This window comes from Homo sapiens, chromosome 8, assembly GCF_000001405.40.
Source record: "Homo sapiens chromosome 8, GRCh38.p14 Primary Assembly".
NCBI lineage: Eukaryota > Metazoa > Chordata > Mammalia > Primates > Hominidae > Homo > Homo sapiens.
The window spans coordinates 116,708,620-116,727,667 of record NC_000008.11 but is presented as its reverse complement, the minus strand read 5'-3'; the positions used below and the strand labels follow the sequence as shown (position 1 = coordinate 116,727,667).

General features: G+C 35.4%; 1 protein-coding gene across 8 annotated transcripts in view; it reads left to right on the top strand.

Annotated features, from left to right (window-relative positions):
- Positions 1-19,048, top strand: part of EIF3H (eukaryotic translation initiation factor 3 subunit H) — a 124,245-nt gene that overhangs the window by 38,707 nt on the left and 66,490 nt on the right. Inside the window, exon 2 of one of the 8 annotated variants that reach the window (NM_003756.3) lies at positions 1,496-1,652. The exons of the other annotated variants lie outside the window; for them this stretch is intronic. Within the exon in view, the coding sequence (NP_003747.1) occupies positions 1,496-1,652 (157 nt within the window). The remainder of the gene's footprint in view (positions 1-1,495; positions 1,653-19,048) is intronic. 8 annotated transcript variants of the gene reach the window in all.

Below are 19,048 nucleotides of genomic sequence, written 5' to 3'. Positions count from 1 at the left end.
CTTTGTATTACAGGATATAAAAACTAACCCCCCAACTATGGAATGTTAAGCTGACACTCAGGACAGTCAAACCCTCCCATAATTCAGTATCTCACACAAACCTGTGTTTACAAAATAGTTGGTAACAGTATTCCTCTGGGTTGTACAAGATGGGAAATAGGGACCACTGATAAGATACAGTGTGTTATGATATCAGTCAAACTTGGCTTCTTTATCTCTGGCGTCATCAGAGGCTGGACTCTTCTCAGTTTTAGTTTCTTCGTTTTGTGCAGGTAAATTTCTTTAGTTTCCTGGTTAGCCACTTTGGCCTGTTTTCCCTTTGCTCCCTTTTTCCCTTTGTTTGCACTTTTTTGTCTGAAGATTTATCCTTTCCTGCTGCCTTTTTTTAGCTTCGTTTCCACTTTGGCGGGAGCAGGTTTAGCTGACAACCGCATTGATTCTCTCTTAGGCTGTTTCTTCACCATCCGTGTGGCTGAGCTGACCTGTGGGCTCAGGCTGCACACAGAAGTAGCTGCTCACCCTGTGTGTGCCTGGCCCACCCATTACTTCGTTTCTAACAATAATATATTTGTTTTAAATGAAACACTAATAACGTACAAATAAATTGTCATTTTCTTGTTAGAATTATTTTTCCTCTGAGAACTTTACATTACAATTTTGAATGTGTTGCCTTTTGGGTCTTCAGGCCATGGGCTCATATTAAATATTAATGCTATTATTATTAATATGTGCCAGGCACTATAAAACACTTTACATATATTAACGCCATGTTGTAGGAATTATTAATGATTATGATTATTGCAGACTTTAATTTCTTGTCCACCTGTGCACGGTGTTACCTCTTATCTTTATGGGAATATTAAAGGAGAGAGTAGTAGAAGACCTGGTTATTCCATTAGAGGTTGCTTAGTGAATCCTTCTGGTTGAGGAAAACTAGATCATGCTGGAGACTATACCAACCAGATTGTTGTTGGATATGTGTGGGTACGTGTTCCCGTTGTTGCATCCTCTGACTATGGAGATGATCTGTTGAGAAAGGCAAAATGAGAATTTATCAGAAGGCTCTGCTTTCAGGTGTCCCGATAATTGAGACCTTTATCTCTGTGTCTTATTGATAGTTTTGTCATTTATGTGTCTATTAACAGGATCACTTTCTCAATAATAGCCTCAGGTTGAGGGGGTATTCTTTGATTTGGCTGAAGGAACTCCTGGATGCCAGACCATGGGGAAGCTTTGATTTAAGAGCATAACTGCTGTAGATGGACGTTTTTGACATGTAATCAAACTCCTGGAGTTTCAGATCTGCGTTTAGATTATGTGAGCTTTATTATTTATGTAAGGGTAAAGGAAAGGATTTGTAAGACATTTATTTATTCCTCTTATTTAATTTGTGGTTTTGCAAACCTAGTACAGTTTCTTTTGTTTTTTCTTAGAAATAAAGGAAATAATAAACTAGGATGGTTGTTAAGCTCCCTTCTGTGTGTGTATGTTTTAGGTGGTATTAAAGATAATCAAACATTATCAAGAAGAAGGACAAGGAACTGAAGTTGTTCAAGGAGTGCTTTTGGGTCTGGTTGTAGAAGATCGGCTTGAAATTACCAACTGCTTTCCTTTCCCTCAGCACACAGAGGATGATGCTGACTTTGATGAAGGTAAGGGTGTTCATCACAAGTGTGTCTTTGCAGTGCATACAAATGGATATTGACACAGGTCTCACCATAACTTTTGATAATGTGTGAATTGGGAATCTGTCAGGCTAGCCTACTTCACTTGATGTCTGATACTTTGGGAAAATTATATAAATTCTGGGAAATGAGGGTTTATACTATAGACATCATTAGTTTGGCCTTTACTTATTTGGAATTTGTGATTCTGATTTGTCATAGATTGGATAGGAACTGTGCTGATGTTGACTTTGTCAACATGAAATCAGCTTGCTAAATAAAGTTTTGAGGGACAAAGATCATCCTTATGTGTCTGTTATCCATTCCCTTCTATCCTCTTTTGAATAAGTCAGTGTTTAGAAAGAGATGGAGTTCAATTTTCTGCTTCAGAAAGAAGATACTCCTCAAGCATTTCAGAAATTTTATTTTTGTACTATAGGTGTAGTTCCTTTGTTAGCAAAGGCTGAGAGTAGTTAAAAGCTCACATCAAAGGCTAAAATCAGCATCTAGAAGATTTTTTAAAAATCAAGTTGAAAATAACTTCTCACTTGTTTGAAATCCCTGGTTTCATTTTCTGTGTAACTTTTTATTGTAAAAAGCACATAAAAATTTTAAGTATACATTACAGTAGTGTTAAGTGTATGCATATTGTGCAGTAGGTTTCTAGAACTATTTCATCTTGCAAAGCTCAAACTCTGTATCCATCGAACAATCCCTTTTTCCACCTCTTTCATCCCCGCAACCACCATTCTACTTTGTGTTTCCAAGAGTCTGACTACAGATACCTCATGTTAGTGGAATCATGTGGCATTTATTATTTTGTGAGTGACTTATGTTATTTAGCATAATGTCCTAAAAGTTCATCCATGTTGTAGCAATGACAGGATTTTCTTCTTTTTTCTTAAGGCTGAATAATAATTCATCATCTGTATATACCACATTTTCCTTATCCAGCCATCTGGCGATGGAAGTTTAGGTTGCTCCCACCTGTTGGCTATTGTGAATAATGCTGCAGTGAACATGGGTGTGCAAATATCTCTTCAAAATCCTGTTTCCATTTTCTTTTGGATATGTACCCAGAAGTGGTATTACATGGTAATTCTATTTTTAATTTTTTGAGGAACTTCTGTATGTTTTTTTTAATAGCAGCTGCACCATTTTACATTTCCAACCTTGCACAAGGGTTCCAATTTCTTAATATGCTTGTCAACACTTGTTATTTTCTGTGTGTTTGATAATGGCCATTTTAACAGATGTGAGGTGATCATCTCATTGTGGTTTTGAATTGCACTTCTGATGATTACTGATGTTGAGCATCTTTTCATATGCTTGTTGGTGATTTGTATATCTTTGAAAAAATGTCTATTCAAGTCCTTTGCTTATTTTAAAATTGGAGGCTTTTTTTTTCCTGTTGAGTTGAAGGAGTTATGGATATTAACCTCTTATCAGATATGGGGTTTGCAATATGTATTTTCTCCCATTTTGTAAGTTGCCTTTTTACTAGGTTGATTGTTTCCTTTGCTGGGCAGGAGTTTTTACATTTGATATACTCCCATTTGTCTGTTCTTGCTTTTGTTGCCTGTGCTTTTGGTATTGTATTGAAGATATCAGTGCCAAATCCAATGTCATGAAGCTTTTTTCCTCTGTTTTTTGGTAGGAAGTTTCAGGTCTTATGTTTAGGTCTTTAATCCATTTTGAATTAATCTTTGTGCTGTATACAAGGTAAGGGTCCAGCTTCGTTCTTTGGCATGTGGATATCCAGTTTTCCTAGCACCATCTGTTGAAGAGACTGTCCTTTCCCATTGAGGGTCCCATCTTGGCACCCTCGTTAAAGATCACTTGACACCATATATGCCAGGGTTTATTTCTGGGCTCTTTGTTTTATTCCACTGGTCTGTATGTCTGTCTTAATGTCAGAAGTACACTTTTTGGATTACTCCAGCTTTGTAATAGGTTTTGAAGTCAGAAATTTTGTTCATCTCATTTGAGATTGTTTTGCCTATTCAGGGTCCTTTGAGATTCCATATGAATTTTAGAATAGATTTTTCTATTTCTACAAAAAATGTCATTGTGATTTTGATAGGTATTGCATTGAATCTGTCTTTGAGTAGTATTGACAACATAATAAGATGAAGTCTAACCTCTGAACATGGCTTTTCTTTCCATTTATATACATCATCTTTTAGCAGCGTTTTGTAGTTTCAGTTTACGAGTGTTTTGCCTCTTTGGTTAAGTGTATTCCTAAGTATTTTATTCTTTGTGATGCTATTGTAAATTGGATTTTTCTTAATTTCCTTTTTGTCATTTTTGATATGACTTTTAACTGATCACATTAACTTTGATAGAATGTTACTTGCTTCATTTGACTTACACACCTTCATAGTACCTTGAGCATATAATAAACACAAAGTATATGCTTGCTAAAGTGAAATACCTTGCAGTTTGTCTGCAAAGCAGGTTTTCATTAAAGTAATTCCTCTAGAAACTAACCAGGGCTACTTTTGTTCTAGGCACCTGAACACTAGCATACTTGGATTTTTTTAAACCCTTATGCAGTGTGCATCTTTTTTTTTTAACCTGGCTATGCTCTCCCTATTTCATTTGAATTACCTCCCACAGAATTAAGGTTGAGATTTCTCTGTAGTTCTTTCTGGCAGTATTAGAATACCTCTGTTTCTCTATACATGCACATATGTGGGGGTACTTAATTATATTTAAATAATCACTAGTTTAGGTCTGGAAAAGAAGAGATTGTTAATGCAGTTTCTTTGGTTTACAAGTGAGGAGCTTGAGAGGTTTAAGTTTTTTGTTTGGTTACTGGGTTGGTGGCACAGTTGGAAGTAGAATCTATTCCAGAACAGTTAACACTGTCACACAGTTTTCTCAGGTAATTAATTTTTTAAATCATATTCTTGGTTTAGAATATGAAGAAATAATATTCATTGCAATTATGGTAGGCGAACGAAACAAAATATATTACTAATTCTAGATCATTGGAAGCTAACTTCTTTTACGAGCTTGAAGTACTTGAATTGACCAATGTTTTATTTCACGAACATGTACTTTATTTTTTAAATTTCTACAAGCTCTTTATTTTCAAAGTTTTAAAAGAATGTTTATTTCAAAAGTTTCACATGGAATAAGAAGCACAGATTATTATCCTAATTTTACAGATTGGAAAACTGAGAACAGAAGAATAACTGTGTGTTTGGATTTACATAGGTAGACTTCGCGAGAGTAGATTTTTTAAAAAAAATGATCATTTAGGACCTTTAACTGATAAGAAAAACAAAACCTCAATTCTTTGGTTTTCCTGCCAGTTTTCTCTGCTTCTTCACTTGGGTTAGAGAAAAAGCAAGCTGCAGAATAAGCACTACATGCTGCTATTTGTGTGAAATTTAAAAAAATATAATACTACATACTGATAAAAGATACATACATATGTAGTAAGAGTATAAACATGCATGAGAATAATAAACACCAAATTCAGGGTAATAGTTACGTCTGGAAGGGGAGGTATAGAGGGGACACAGAAGACTTCAGCTTTATTGGTAAAATTAAGTTAGCTAGCAAGGACACAAGTGTATGTTATTTGTGTTAGTCCATTTTCATGCTGCTGATAAAGACATACCCCACACTGGCTAACTTACAAAGAAAAAGGTTTAATGGATTCACAGTTCCACATGGCTGGGAAGGCCTCACAATCATGGTGGAAGGTGAAAGGCACGTCTTACTTGGTGGCAGGCAAGAAAGAAAATGAGAACCAAGTGAAGGGGGTTTCCCCTTATAAAATCATCAGATCTCGTGAGGCTTATTAATTACCACAAGAACAGTATGGGGGCAACTGCTCCCGTGATTCAGTTATCTTCCACTGAGTCCCTCCCACAACATGTGGGAATTATGGGAGCCACAATTCAAGATGAGATTTGGGTGGCAACACAGCCAAACCATATCATTCCACCCTGGCTCTTCCCAAATCTCATGTCCCCACATTTCAAAACCAATCATGCCTTCCCAACTGTGCCCCGAAGTCTTAACTCAGTTCAGCATTAACTCAAAAGTCCACAGTCAAAAGTCTCATCTGAAACAAGGCAAGTTCCTTCTACCTGTGATCGTGTAAAATCAAAAGCAAGTTAGTTACTTCCTAGATATGATGGGGGTACAGGCATTGGATAAATCCACCTATTTCAAATGGGAGAATGAGCCAAAATGAAGGGGCTGAAGGCCCCAGGCAAGTCTTGAAATCCAGTGGGGCAGTCAGATCTTAAAACTCCAAAAGTGATCTCCTTTGACTCCATGTCTCACATTCAGGTCAAGCTAATGCAAGAAGTGGGCAGCTCTGTCCCTGTGGCTTTGGGCAGCTCTGCCCCTGTGGCATTGCAGGGTACAACCTCCCTCCTGGCTGCTTTCATGGGCTGGCATTGAGTGTCTGCGGCTTTTCCAGGTGCATGGTGCAAGCTGTTGGTGGATCTACCATTCTGGGGTCTGGAGGACGGTGGCCGTCTTCTCACAGCTCCACTAGGCAGTGCCCCAGTGGGGACTCTGTGTGGGGGCTTCAACCCCACATTTCCCTTCTGCACTGCCCTAGCAGAGGTTCTACATGAGGGCCCTGCCCCTGCAGCAAACTTCTGCCTGATGTGCAGGCATTTCCGTACATCCTCTGAAATTTAGGCGGAGGTTCCCAAACCTCAATTCTTGACTTCTGGGCACCAGCAGGCTCAACACCACGTGGAAGCTGCCAAGGCTTGGGACTTGCGCCCTCTGAAACCACAGCCCAAGCTGTATCTTGGCTCCTTTTAGCCATGGCTAGAGTGGCTAGGAGGTAGGCCACCAAGTCCCTAGGCTACACACAGCAGAAGGGCCCACAAAACCATTTTTTCCTCCTAGGCCTCTAGGCCTGTGGTGGGAGCTGCTGCTGTGAAGGTCTCCGACGTGCCCTGGAGACATTTTTCCCATTGTCTTGGAGATGCACATTTGGCTCCTCATTATGCAAATTTCTGCTTGAATTTCTCCTCAGAAAATGGGCTTTTCTTTTCTATCGCATTGTTAGGCTGCAAATTTTCCAAACTTTTATACTCTGTTTCCCTTTTAAAACTGAATGATTTTAACAGCACCCAAGTCACCTCTTGAATGCTGTGCTGCTTAGAAATTTTTTCCACCAGATACCCTAAATCATCTCTCTCAAGTTCAGAGTTCCACAAATCATTTAGCAGTCTCTTTGCTAAAACATAGCAAGAGTCATTTTTATTACAGTTCCCAACAAGTTCCTCTGAGATCACCTCAGCCTGGATTTTCGTTATGCATTTTGGTCAAAACCATTCAACAAGTCTCTGGGAAGTTCCAAACTTTCCTACAGTTTTTCTGTCTTCTGAGCCCTCCCAACTGTTTCAGCCTCTGCCTGTTATCCACTTCCAAAGTCACTTCCACATTTTCGGGTATTTACAGCAGCACCCAACTCTTGGTACCAATTTACTGTATTAGTCCATTTTCACGCCACTGATAAAGACATACCTGAGACATGGCAATTTTTGAAGAAAAAGAGATTTAATGGATTCACAGTTCTACGTGGATGGGGAGGCTTCACAGTCATGGCAGAAGGCAAAAGACATGTCTTAGATGGTGGCAGGCAAGAGAGAAAATGAGCATGAACATGCATGTTAAACATTTAAATGAAAACATTTAATATTTTTTCAATGTAAAAATTTAAATTTAAAAACATTACAACAATTGAAGTTTTTAAAATTTCAATTTAAAAAAATTTTAAATTTAAATCAAACAATTGTAAATATTAAAATATATTTTAACAGTCCTGAGATAGAGACTTAAGTTTAGCATTAAATAATAAAAATAGGCATTGTATTCTGTGTACTTATATAAATTGCCTATGATTAGTTGTTAATCTGCACAGTTGAAGGTCTTTTCAGTCTCATTTTCCAGAATTAGGATACTGATGTTTAGTGACATAAATAACTTATCAGAAATCATTTAACTAGGAATTGGTAATACAGGGACTGAAACTGGTAGCTGGCTGGATTCCAAATACCATGGTTTTTCTACTATAATAGACTCTTAGACTCTTAGTGAAGTGTATGCCAGAGGTTAAAGGATGTTGAGTGTAGGTCATTATTCCGTATCTGAAATCCGCTTTTTGTGTAAAACAAGTAAATAAGTTTTTCTTGGTCTGCCTTTAGAAATTAATCGGAATTGTCATTTTCTTATACATGTGAAAAATCTAAGACAACAGTCTTCTTTAGTTTTTCATAACCTCATGTGATAGATTTAAATTTTAGGTTCTTTCACCTAACCCATATATTCTTTTTTTAAAAATATTTGCATTGATCTCTCCATTTTATTTTTCATGAGAATTTTAAAAATATTCATAAATTTTCTGACAACCATTTACTCCTCAACCCTTTAGAATGACTGTGTTCTTGGTGATGGTAACATTCCCTCTTTTTTATTTGTGTGCTGTCCTCTATCTGGCCTTTTTCCTGGATGACTATGCTTTCCATTCAAACATTTTCCCATATTACATTCTCTCCATTTAAGTTTCCCTACTTCTATCCTTTCCACTCTTTCTTTTTCATCTCAGATTATTCATTCCCTATAAACATTTACTTTTTCTGTCTTCCAGAGCCTTGCCATAGTTTCTCTAAGAAGTTGGTGAGATGACAGGCTTGATGGTGATAGCCACAGTTTCCATTCTAACTGTAGCTCTGAAAAAATGCAAAGTTAGTAACTGTCTTTTATTCAGAATTAAAGGGCCCATTATTATGCAGTTGATATTTCACCCAACTCTGATTTGAGAGAAGATTACAAACTTGCCAAGTGCTGTTTCTCAATCCGTTGTCCTCACAAAGACAGTGAATTGTGATGTGATCCAATGGTCAGTTATTAAACTAAGGCTCATTCCTCCTGGCCTCGAATGTACTATTCACGTATTTCTAGATATACAGATACTGGACATAATTATTTCTGTCTTCATTTTCTTTCCCACCGTAGTAATTTTTCTTTATTCTTTTGTGTTTTTATCACAATTAGCATTTTCAATACAATGTAACACCTAACTTTTTCTTTTTTGGGGGAAGCAGGTTTTATTATTAATTTTAATATATATATATTTTATTTCAATAGGTTTTTGGGGAACAGGTGGTGTTTGGTTACATGAATGAGTTTTTTAGTGGTGATTTCTGAGATTTTGGTTCACCCATCACCTGAGCAGTGTACACTGTATGCAGTGTGTAGTCTTTCAACCCTTAACCACCCCGCCCCCGACCCTTTCTCCAATTCCTCAAAGCCCATTGTATCGGTCTTATGCCTTTGCATCCTCATAGCTTCACTCCCACTTATGAATGAGAACATATGATGTTCGGTTTTCCATTCCCGAGTTACTTCACTTAGAATAATGATTTCTAATTCCATCCAGGTTGCTGCAAATGCCATTATTTTGTTACTTTTTATGGCTGAATAATATTCCATAATATATATATATATGCAACACATTTTCTTTATCCACTGATTGATTGATGAGCATTTGGGCTGGTTCCATATTTTTGCAATTGCAAATTGTGCTGCTATAAACATACATGTACAAGTATCTTTGTTGTATAGTGACTTCTTTTCTTCTTGGTAGATACCCAGGAATGGAATTGCTGGATCAAATGGTAGATCTACTTTTAATTCTTTAAGCAGTCACCACACACTGTTTTCCATAGTCATTCTACTAGTTTACATTCCCACCAAAAGTGTTTTCTTTTCACCCCATCCAGGCCAACATCTATAATTTTTTTTTTATTATTATGGACGTTTTAGCTAGGAGTAAGGTGGTATTGCATTGTGGTTTTGATTTGCATTTCCCTGATAATTAGTGATGTTGAGCATTTTTTCATATGTTTGTTGGCCATTTGTATATCCTCTTTCATGTCCTTAGCCCACTTTTTGATGCAATTGTTTTTTTCTTGCTGACTTGTTTGAGTTCGTTGTAGATTCTGGATATTAGTCCTTTGTCGGTTATATAGATTGTGAAGATTTTCTCCCACTCTGGGTTGTCTGTTTACTCTGCTGATTATTTCTTTTGCTGTGCAGAAGCTTTTTAGTTTAATTAAGTCCCATCAATTTATCTTGGTTTTGTTGCATTTTCTTTTGGGTTCTTGTCGTGAAATATGCCTAAGCCACTGTATTGAAGGGCTTCTCCAATGTTAGCTTCTAGAATTTTTATGGTTTCAGGTTTTAGATTTAAGTCTCTGATCCATCTTGAGTTGATTTTTGTATAAGGTGAGAGATGAGGATCCAGTTTCATTCTTCTGCATGTGGATTGCCAATTATCTCAGCACCATTTGTTGAATAGGGTGTCATTTCCCCACTTTGTGTTTTTGTTGGCTTTGTCGAAGTCAGTTAACTCTAAGTATTTGGCATTATTTCTGGGTTCTCTATTCTGTTCCATTGGTCTATATTCATGTTTTTATACCAGTACCATACTGTTTTGGTGACTATGGCCTCACAGTAGTTTGAAGTCAGGTAATGTGATTCCTCCAGGTTTGTTATTTTTGCTTTAGTCTTCTTTTGGCCATGAAGGCTCTTTTTTGGTTCCATATGAATTTTAGGATTGTTTTTTCTAGTTCTGTGAAGAATGATGGTGGTATTTTGATGGGGATTGCATTGAATTTGTAGATTGCTTTTGGCAGTATGGTCATTTTCACAATATTGATTCTACCCATACATGAGCATGGCATGTGTTTCCATTTGTTTGTGTAGTCTATGTTTTCTTTGAGCAGTGTTTTGTAGTTTTCCTCGTAGAGGTTTTTCACCTCCTTGCTAACCCATATACTCTATATTAATGGGCATTAAAATGTAGTCACCAGTAGATTTTTATTAAACTTAGATAAAAACTATAATTTTCTGTTATATGGATATATATTAGAATAGTCCTGTATGTTGATTTTTAAAAATCATGGTAAAGACCCATTGCATTTCTTACTGCTTTTCTATTGTTTTGTGCTCTCTAAAACTAGCAGTTATTCAGAGGAAGATCTTTTTTTGTGCCATCCACCTCGGGGAGGTAATATACCAAATATTTCATAATTTTAATGAGTATATATTTCAGGTGTTTTGTTTGTTTGTTTTGGTGCCTCATGTAAAGAGGAGATTTTTAATCTGTTGTCCAAAAGTGAAATGTTAATAAATGGTTTAAATCAGAGATGGACAAACAATGATCTGATTTGTAAATAAAGTTTTGTAGGGACACGGTGATGCCCATTCACATATTTTTTAATGGCTTCATTCCCGCTACAGTGGCACAGTTGAGTAGTTGTGGCTGAGACCATATGGGTCCTAAGCCTGAAATATTTACTGTCTGACCCTTAAAGAAATTTTGACCACCTGTGATTTATGTAACTTCATGTCTTATTGTTCTCCCTCTCCTGTAAAGTTAAAGAATAAGGCAGTAAATCCTCTCTTTCATCATAAATTGATAATTTTTTGTGCGATATTTGTTCTTGATGTTACCTTTAATCTTGACGGAGCTCAGAATATATTTTGAGCACTGAAACGAAAATACACTATAGGATGTTTGTTTCACTGGCACACCTAGGAAGTATCAGAATAGGTAGTTTTTGCTTTAGTTTTAGTGCCTTTTTCATTTAAAAAGAAAACACATATTAAGTTGTAATTCATGGTTGCTGACCTGTGACTAGGCATTGTGGAAAGATAATGGTATGAGGCCAAAAAACCTGGGTGGAAATCTCAGCTTTATACTTTGGAGCTGTGCAACATAGAATAACTTCTGAACCAATTTTTTCTGACTCTAGTATCTTTTTAATTGCTCACTTGAGTACTAGAAACAACGAGAATGATAATTTCCTTATGAGATTAATGTTTTGTATTGTTCTGTGTTAGATTATGCTAGTGGATGATTCAAAACCTAGAAAACTGTTATTATAAGTTTTCTGTTGCTTGTCTCTCTCTTAATTCACAATTTGTTTTTGCACATGTGGTAACTCCTTTGAGTGGATTCAGTCTTCATAAACTTTTATATTACAGAATTTACCTTCTAGTTGAAAGTGAAATAATTTGATCATATTAGAGAATATATGCTTTTTCAAACAAAAAAGAGTAGAAAAACTCATACTAAAATTCCCATTAGGGGGCACTGTTATCAAGCTTAGCAGAACTGGAGACTAATTTGTTTTCTCAAACGTGCAACCCAAGGCTTGCTAAAAGGGAGAAATATTTTCATCTTATAAGATTCAGATACTGTTTTATACAACTGAATTCCTTAAATATGTTATAAAGTGCACTGAATTAAACACAGATTCAATAACTCACTGCCTTGCTTTTCAGCAGGCTAAATTGATTTACTATTTCAGGTGATATAGGAAGCTTACTTTATTTTGCGTCAGAGCCAAATCCATAATTTTCATATTTGGAGTGGCCAATTTTTAATTTTGCTTACTACAACACAAAGGATGATCCTTAGCCTTCAAAATAGGTTGATTTCAAAACGAAGCATGAAGACTGCCTTGTACTCCTAAAATTCAGTTAGGGGAATTAAAATAATATCTTTTTACTCAGACAGTATTCATGTGTGCACCATGTATAATTATTAAAGTGATAGTTCACAATGTAGTGATAAATAAAACACATAGCTTTTATCTGTTTTTTTTTCATTTTCAGTAGGAGAAAATTGTTACTTGAAAATTATTTGTTTTTGTATTAATCAAATTTGGTGTTGGAGTAAGAGATACTAGTGTCGACTGTTAACATATTTTGTTTAAGTTTTGAAAAGAAAAGCAGAGTTGTAGAATCAATCCTTTCAGAGGCTAAAATATGAATTGACAAAACTGTAATTAAAATATTGATGTATTTAGAGTAGTTTTTCCCAGCATAGGGTTATTTTTGTGTGACTGAGGTTGGAGAGAATAAGTTTGTATGGTGATGTTATTTGCAGTGCTCTCTGTGCAAGTTAGTCATGTTTTACATTGGAGAAAATCTCTGCTTAGTTACTTGCTTCCTCAAATCTCACCTTCCTTCTCAGCTTTCCTGCAGCCCACACCTAGGGTAAAACTGCTGGAAACCTAGTCTGTGGTTACTATTTTGCCTTTGTATTGCTTTAGAGCTCAGAGAAGAGTTGAATTTGGACAGAGAAAGCTTTTAATATTTTTTAGACAGATGGGGACATTTTGTGAATAGACATGTGTTTACTTATTATTTTGTCTTACCCCCTATCTGTATGACTAGTCAGTGATCGTTGTGGTCTGTTTGACAGATTTTTTCAAAACTCTCTTTCTTTTGTTGCATTTTTAAAAATGATATATTTTTGGTAGAACTGTTAGAAATAATATGTAGACAGTTTGGGGGCATGTTTTGAAATTTACTGCAGAAAAATAGCATGTTTACCTAGTGACCTCATATCGTTGTGGTCAAGTGTGGAGGTATAATAAAATGTTTCAAATATCCAGAAAAAAAAATTAGTCCACTGTAATTCACTTCAGCATTTAGCCAGCAAATTACTTGAGTGGGAAGTAAAAAAGATACAAAGACACCAAATCCTGCTTACTGCCTCAGAAGATTTTAAGTGGGAGAGACAAGTGTGTACATAAAAAAATTGTAAAACAGAATTGATATAAGTCCAGACTACGGAAGGAAAAAATGATGCGAACACTCAGCTATCAGCCACTAATTCCTTTCGGGGATGACTTCACAGGAGAGGTGAAGTTTGATTCTATAGATAGATGTCAGTTGCAATTTTAAGAAACTGTTAAACAAGAAAGTTGTGTCTTTTGAATGTGTTCTGATTATTTGTATGTTTGGGTCCTCATAAGTGGCACACACACCTCTAGAAATCAAGAACAAACTAATATGTATATATTTTTTATTTGACATCTTTATTGTTCAGATTCCTTGAAAATACTTTTCAGATATTGCTGTTGCTTTAGTATCCAGGTAGAGAAGTTGTTTTTGACGTTTGTTTTTATACATGAAAGTTCTCCTGATAATGATGTTAGTGTCATGTTTATAGAACCTCGGGGCCCATATTGCAGTTGGTTCTATTTAAAATATTTAGTAAAATACTTAATAGATACTTGGTTTTAGAAGCATTATGTATGCAGGTAACTAGAGAGAATCTGTACACTGAATTATGATATAATTCCCCTTGATACTCATCTTTTTGTTACGTAGTATTTTGAAAATGTTAAAACTGTTCACATTTAGTGATTTACTGCTAAATAATCAGGGCAATGAACTTTAGATTATTGCTCACTTACATTTTTTTGGATAACTCAGAAAAGCCTGGTTTGTGATGTAAAACTTTAACTTAAAAACCTAAATTTACTTTATGTGTTTGGTTTTTGGTTTATTAAGGTGATTAGAATATACGAGAAGCAAAATCTGAATAGGAAGCATCAGTTCTCGTATTTTCATGGCTTTTTGGTTCTTTCAGTTTGAGTGTCTCAAGATTTTAAATACAATAGTAGGAACAAAGTCTAGCTTCATTTTGAAAGCTTGAAAAATATTTTTGCATTTACTTCATGTTTTACAATTTAGTTCTTTTTCTTTTTTAAAAATGAGTTGAGAAACTCTTGTGCATGAAAGGATATACTTTTGAAAATGTGGTCAAGGTAAAAGATTTTTCTGCTTAAAGAAATTAAAGTGCTTTACGCTATACTCTCCCTTAGTCCCCAAAGCATAAGTGCTATGGTTTGGAAAGAAGCCAAGTAAAACCTGTTCAAATTTTGTGCAGACTTAAAGTAATACCGTAAGATTTGAAAATTACAGGTGGATACAGTGCTTAAATAGTATTTAAAATTCCTAAGTTTCCCCAAGTCTAAAAATGTAATCCTTAAATTACTGTTCCCAGTGGTTTAAATTTTAATTAAATAAAAACTGTCTTACTTTTGACCCACAACAACTTTACGTAAAGATATTTGAATTTCTTACTAAACTTTAAGGTAATAGCCATTAAAATGAACTGTTTTAGTACTAATTAAAATGTCAAAAAGTCACAATTACAGTATGTAACCAAAGATCCTTGCTATTTCTTTTTTTCAAGTTCAGACTTGCTTCCTATCTTGCCCAGGAGAAATGGTACTCAGTTTCGTTCCCCCAATTAGATATATTACCTAAAGTATGTTTTACAGATCGATAATTAATTATAATTACATTTGATGTTTTGGTGCTAATACTGAGTTTTCCAAACTGCTCTTCATCCTAAAAGAGTGCTATCTTAGTTATGCCAGTAAAGTGTTCTGTTTGCTTTATATTCATCTCTCTTCAGGTGAAATTTTGATAGTTTGGGACTTTATCTGTTTTGAGATTGTTCTTATATCTGTTTGAGATTATTCTTCGTGGCTTACCTATTAGCAGTTTCAGAATTGTGTTTTCATACCGTTAACACTTCTCCACCATGAGTATTATTTAATGCTTTTTTCTACCAGTAATTTTTACTCAGTACATTTTAGATGCTTTCTGATATAGTTGAAAACAAAGGCAGTATTTATTTTGACTTTAAGTAATAATGTAATGGTGTAGGTTTATAATGAAACCCCACGTCTCCCTCTTTCCTTACCCTTATATACATATTTACTGTTTTTTTTGCCCTCTAACATCTAACCTACAGACATTGTCTTTTGATAGACAGCCCTTCTTTCCTGTGACCGATGAGAGGGCCATACAATTATTCTAGTGGTCTTTGCAGAATTGTACTCATCTTTTTTCTGGTGTATAGAATTGGATGGGTGACTCCCTTATGGAGACATATTTTGGTGGTAGGCTACTAACCTCACAACCAGCATCTGTGGTAGAAGGAGTTTGGCAGCAGAGCCCTCGATGGGGCTCCCTAGACTTGTGGCATGCTGTTATCCTCAGCAGACAGCAATGACAGCAGCAGCAGCGGCGGCGGCGGCAGCAGCAGTCCTACAAATTCCAGTTGTTCTCAAGTCACTATAGATTCCAAGCTCATCTGCTCTCACTTTAGTGTCTCCTTTTTGCTTTTCTTTCTTTCTTCTTTTGTTGTTTATTCATCAAACCAATATTTGAGTGGAAACTGTGTGCTGGGCACTTTGGCCTTTGCTTACCTACATTTCTGCTACACATATTTTTTGAAATGTTTGTTATTTATAGAACTTAGTGGTTTTAAGCAGTGTATTTGACTTGAACATGAGAAGCATGAGGAGGACTTGTTTTAGTGCATTATGTTAGTGAATCAGATTATTGAAAGGTGAATGTTACATTAATATGCAGGTAAATGTGTCTGGAATATATTTTTGTTTACCTGGAGAATGTATTGGGGTTATAAACACATATTTACGTAACTGTGTATCTCCAAGTTTGTAATTCAAAGTCATTCTGAATGTATTTGTTTCATAAGATACTTTTGTTCTTGAAAATTTGTAAGTTGACCATCTTTTTTTCTTTGTCATATTAGAAGTATTTTATTTTCATTTTTGATTCATTGTCATTTGGTAGCAACTCCCAATACTTTAAATGTACTCAGTTTTTAAAAAAGTCTATTACCAGGATTATTGGTAATGTGGATTGTTTCTTCTTAATATTTTAATTTCTCTTCTTCCTCCAACTACCAGCATCACCAACCCCATGAAAAAAGATAAAATAAAACATTAAAAAGATTCAGTACTAGAAGAGGATGAGGAGTTGTATAAAGGATGATGATAAAATACCTTGATGGGTATGAGCTATTTTCTCTGTTGATAAAATGGGGAATAGGGTGGTATAGAAGTTATATGCAGTGTTAAGATCATTGTAAGCCATATCTGGTTTGCCTCCCTGCCCCTTTCAGAGATACTTGATGTGACCGACAGTGAGACTCTGATGTTTTTTTCAGAATCCAGATTTACATTTCTGTCTAAATTGTCTCCTCATCTTCTGGGCAACCTGAAAAGATGCTAGTATCCAATTATGGAAGCAATGTGTGTACACATATACCATTATAGTTCTTAGTTAAGAAAATTTCTAAAATAGAATATATTTCTAAAATGTATGTATAGCAAATATATATATTTCTTATGTATGGCAAACTTTCAGATAGGCATAACAGGAAATCTACATTGAGTTCTGGCTACTGATGATTTTGGCTTTACTGCTAATTGGAGTCTTGAGTCTCTACAGCCTTACTTTTCATGTTTACAAAGAGAATCACAGGAGGAACTTTTGTAATTATTTTAGCAGATGGGAAACTAAGTCCCAGAGATGCCCAAGTTTAAAATTAATGGCAAATGCAGAACCAGAAAACCCAGTATGCCCATCTAATATATAATCCATCACAATTTAGGGAGGTGGCAGTAATTCCAGTATGTTTTCAGAAGCACAGTGAGTGATGCAGTTGCCTGCAGTTGTGACTTGTAGACATATTGTATTTACTTAAAAGGCTGCTTCTTGGCATTACTATTTACTATCAGCACAACTGAAATCAAATGATATTAAATTTAACACCAGATTTTTAGAAAGTTAAGTTTGTGGGTGTACACTAGGTATTATATTAAATAAAAATGAAGGTCAACAGAAAATTAGCGGTGGTTGAATGTATACAGACACTAAACCCATTTCACTGCTGAAAGTCAGCACAGCCTCTACTATTTTGCTACATGGAATGGAGAAACTAACTGAAAATACAGATCAAGCTGGGTAGGGTAGGGGAAGAAAAATGTGTTCTTATTAAATATCACTGAATGCCATTACAAATAATAGTTTGAATAGATGGTTTAATTTGACTTAGGAAATCAGTGCCTGACTGATGACACAGGAAGACTTTCTAGAATACATTGCTTTGCAGATGACTTAAACAGACAATACTGATAAAGCCTGTCATGTGAATTTCCTTCTTTACTGAGTACACAGTATGGTTAAGTAGTATGTTGTGCAGTGCTTCCAATCTGCCGTGACTGCCATCTGGGCAAGCAGAATGAGAAAAGAGCATGGAAAGGAAATGGATCAGTTAGCTGTAAGGAATCTGTGTGAACGCTGGGTGCCACTCATGAAACACTGAGCAGTTAGTGACTCCTTTGTAACCAGTCCAACTAGCTCTTTGTAAAAAATGAAGGTGTGCACCGTGAACAACTCTCACAATTCATCTTTTCAATGTCCTGGTACCTATGGCTGAGACAGACCAGTAAATCCAGTGACAGTAATCATGATCACGCTACCCTTTTCTTATTTATCTCTTCGTATTTTTTGATTTAATTTTTTGCTGCTTCAGTGTTTGGCACAATGTTGAGGTAGATTTAATAATCCTAGCATTTTTACTTTGCCTAAATGGAGTCTTTTTGGAAACAAATTATGTGTAAAAGCAAGTTCCTAAGAAACATTTAACTACTTAAAGACAAGAGCTATAGCTTCAAAATCTTACAAGTTGTAACCCAACAAGGATATACATGAGTGATGAAGTTGTGTATGGATAAGAGGACTGGCTAGCAGAATCTAACCTGTATACCTTTGTCAGTGGATACATCTCTTACTTGAATTTCAAAAATTTGTACAATAGTTCTTTTTGCATACGTGCATATGGTTACCTTTTTGATAAAACATGTGATCCCTTACAAAATTGTGTTAACCATGAGTCATCTGTTATCTCCATAGAAATTAACATACCCTTATATAGATGGCTAATAATACAAAGCCACGATGGTTTCTGTGGTTTTACTAACTGTGGTTCCATTTCTAAAACATTTAAAATAAGACCTGCTCCTTTTTAAAAAATTTTTTGGGCAAAGGGTTGTCTTATCAGAAAGTGCAATAATTTAAGCAGATCCATAACTGGGAGGAATTAATAACAGAAAGTTTTTGTTGACACCAGGAAGTAGATTAAATAGTGCAATTGTGGTAATGAGTACCATATATGATAAGCCTGAGCCAGCTGGGTTATATTAGGCTGCTTGATACTTTGATCACAGTATTATTTCAAGGCTTGTCTATTTAAATTGCTAAGGTTTCTTGTCATCTTTGCGATTTAGACCATAATTTCTTTTATTGCAAAAAAAAATTTTTTTTTTTTTTTAAAGAAAGGCCCTGGCTAAACCAAAATTGTTAAGGAGGTACAAGTTCAACAGCTAGGCAAACCTTAGAACTAGAAAACCTGTTCAACATAAAAAAATGGAAAGCTTAGAAGTACAGCAGTTGAATATTAAGTTCATCTGACCTTGCTTTTCTTTAGTTTTTTGCTTGGATCATAATTATCATATGGTAGTGAGTACCATAAGGATGTTTGGTATAATTCAATTAGTTACTGTTTGATATAAATATGTGCATTTAAAATATATATTTCATGTTTTAAGAATAAAGTACTGCTCTCAGTTTCCCTTCAGCTGGTATTAAGTGGTTTTGATGAACATCTTTGAGAATTCGGAAAGATTTTTAACTACTTTACCCATAGT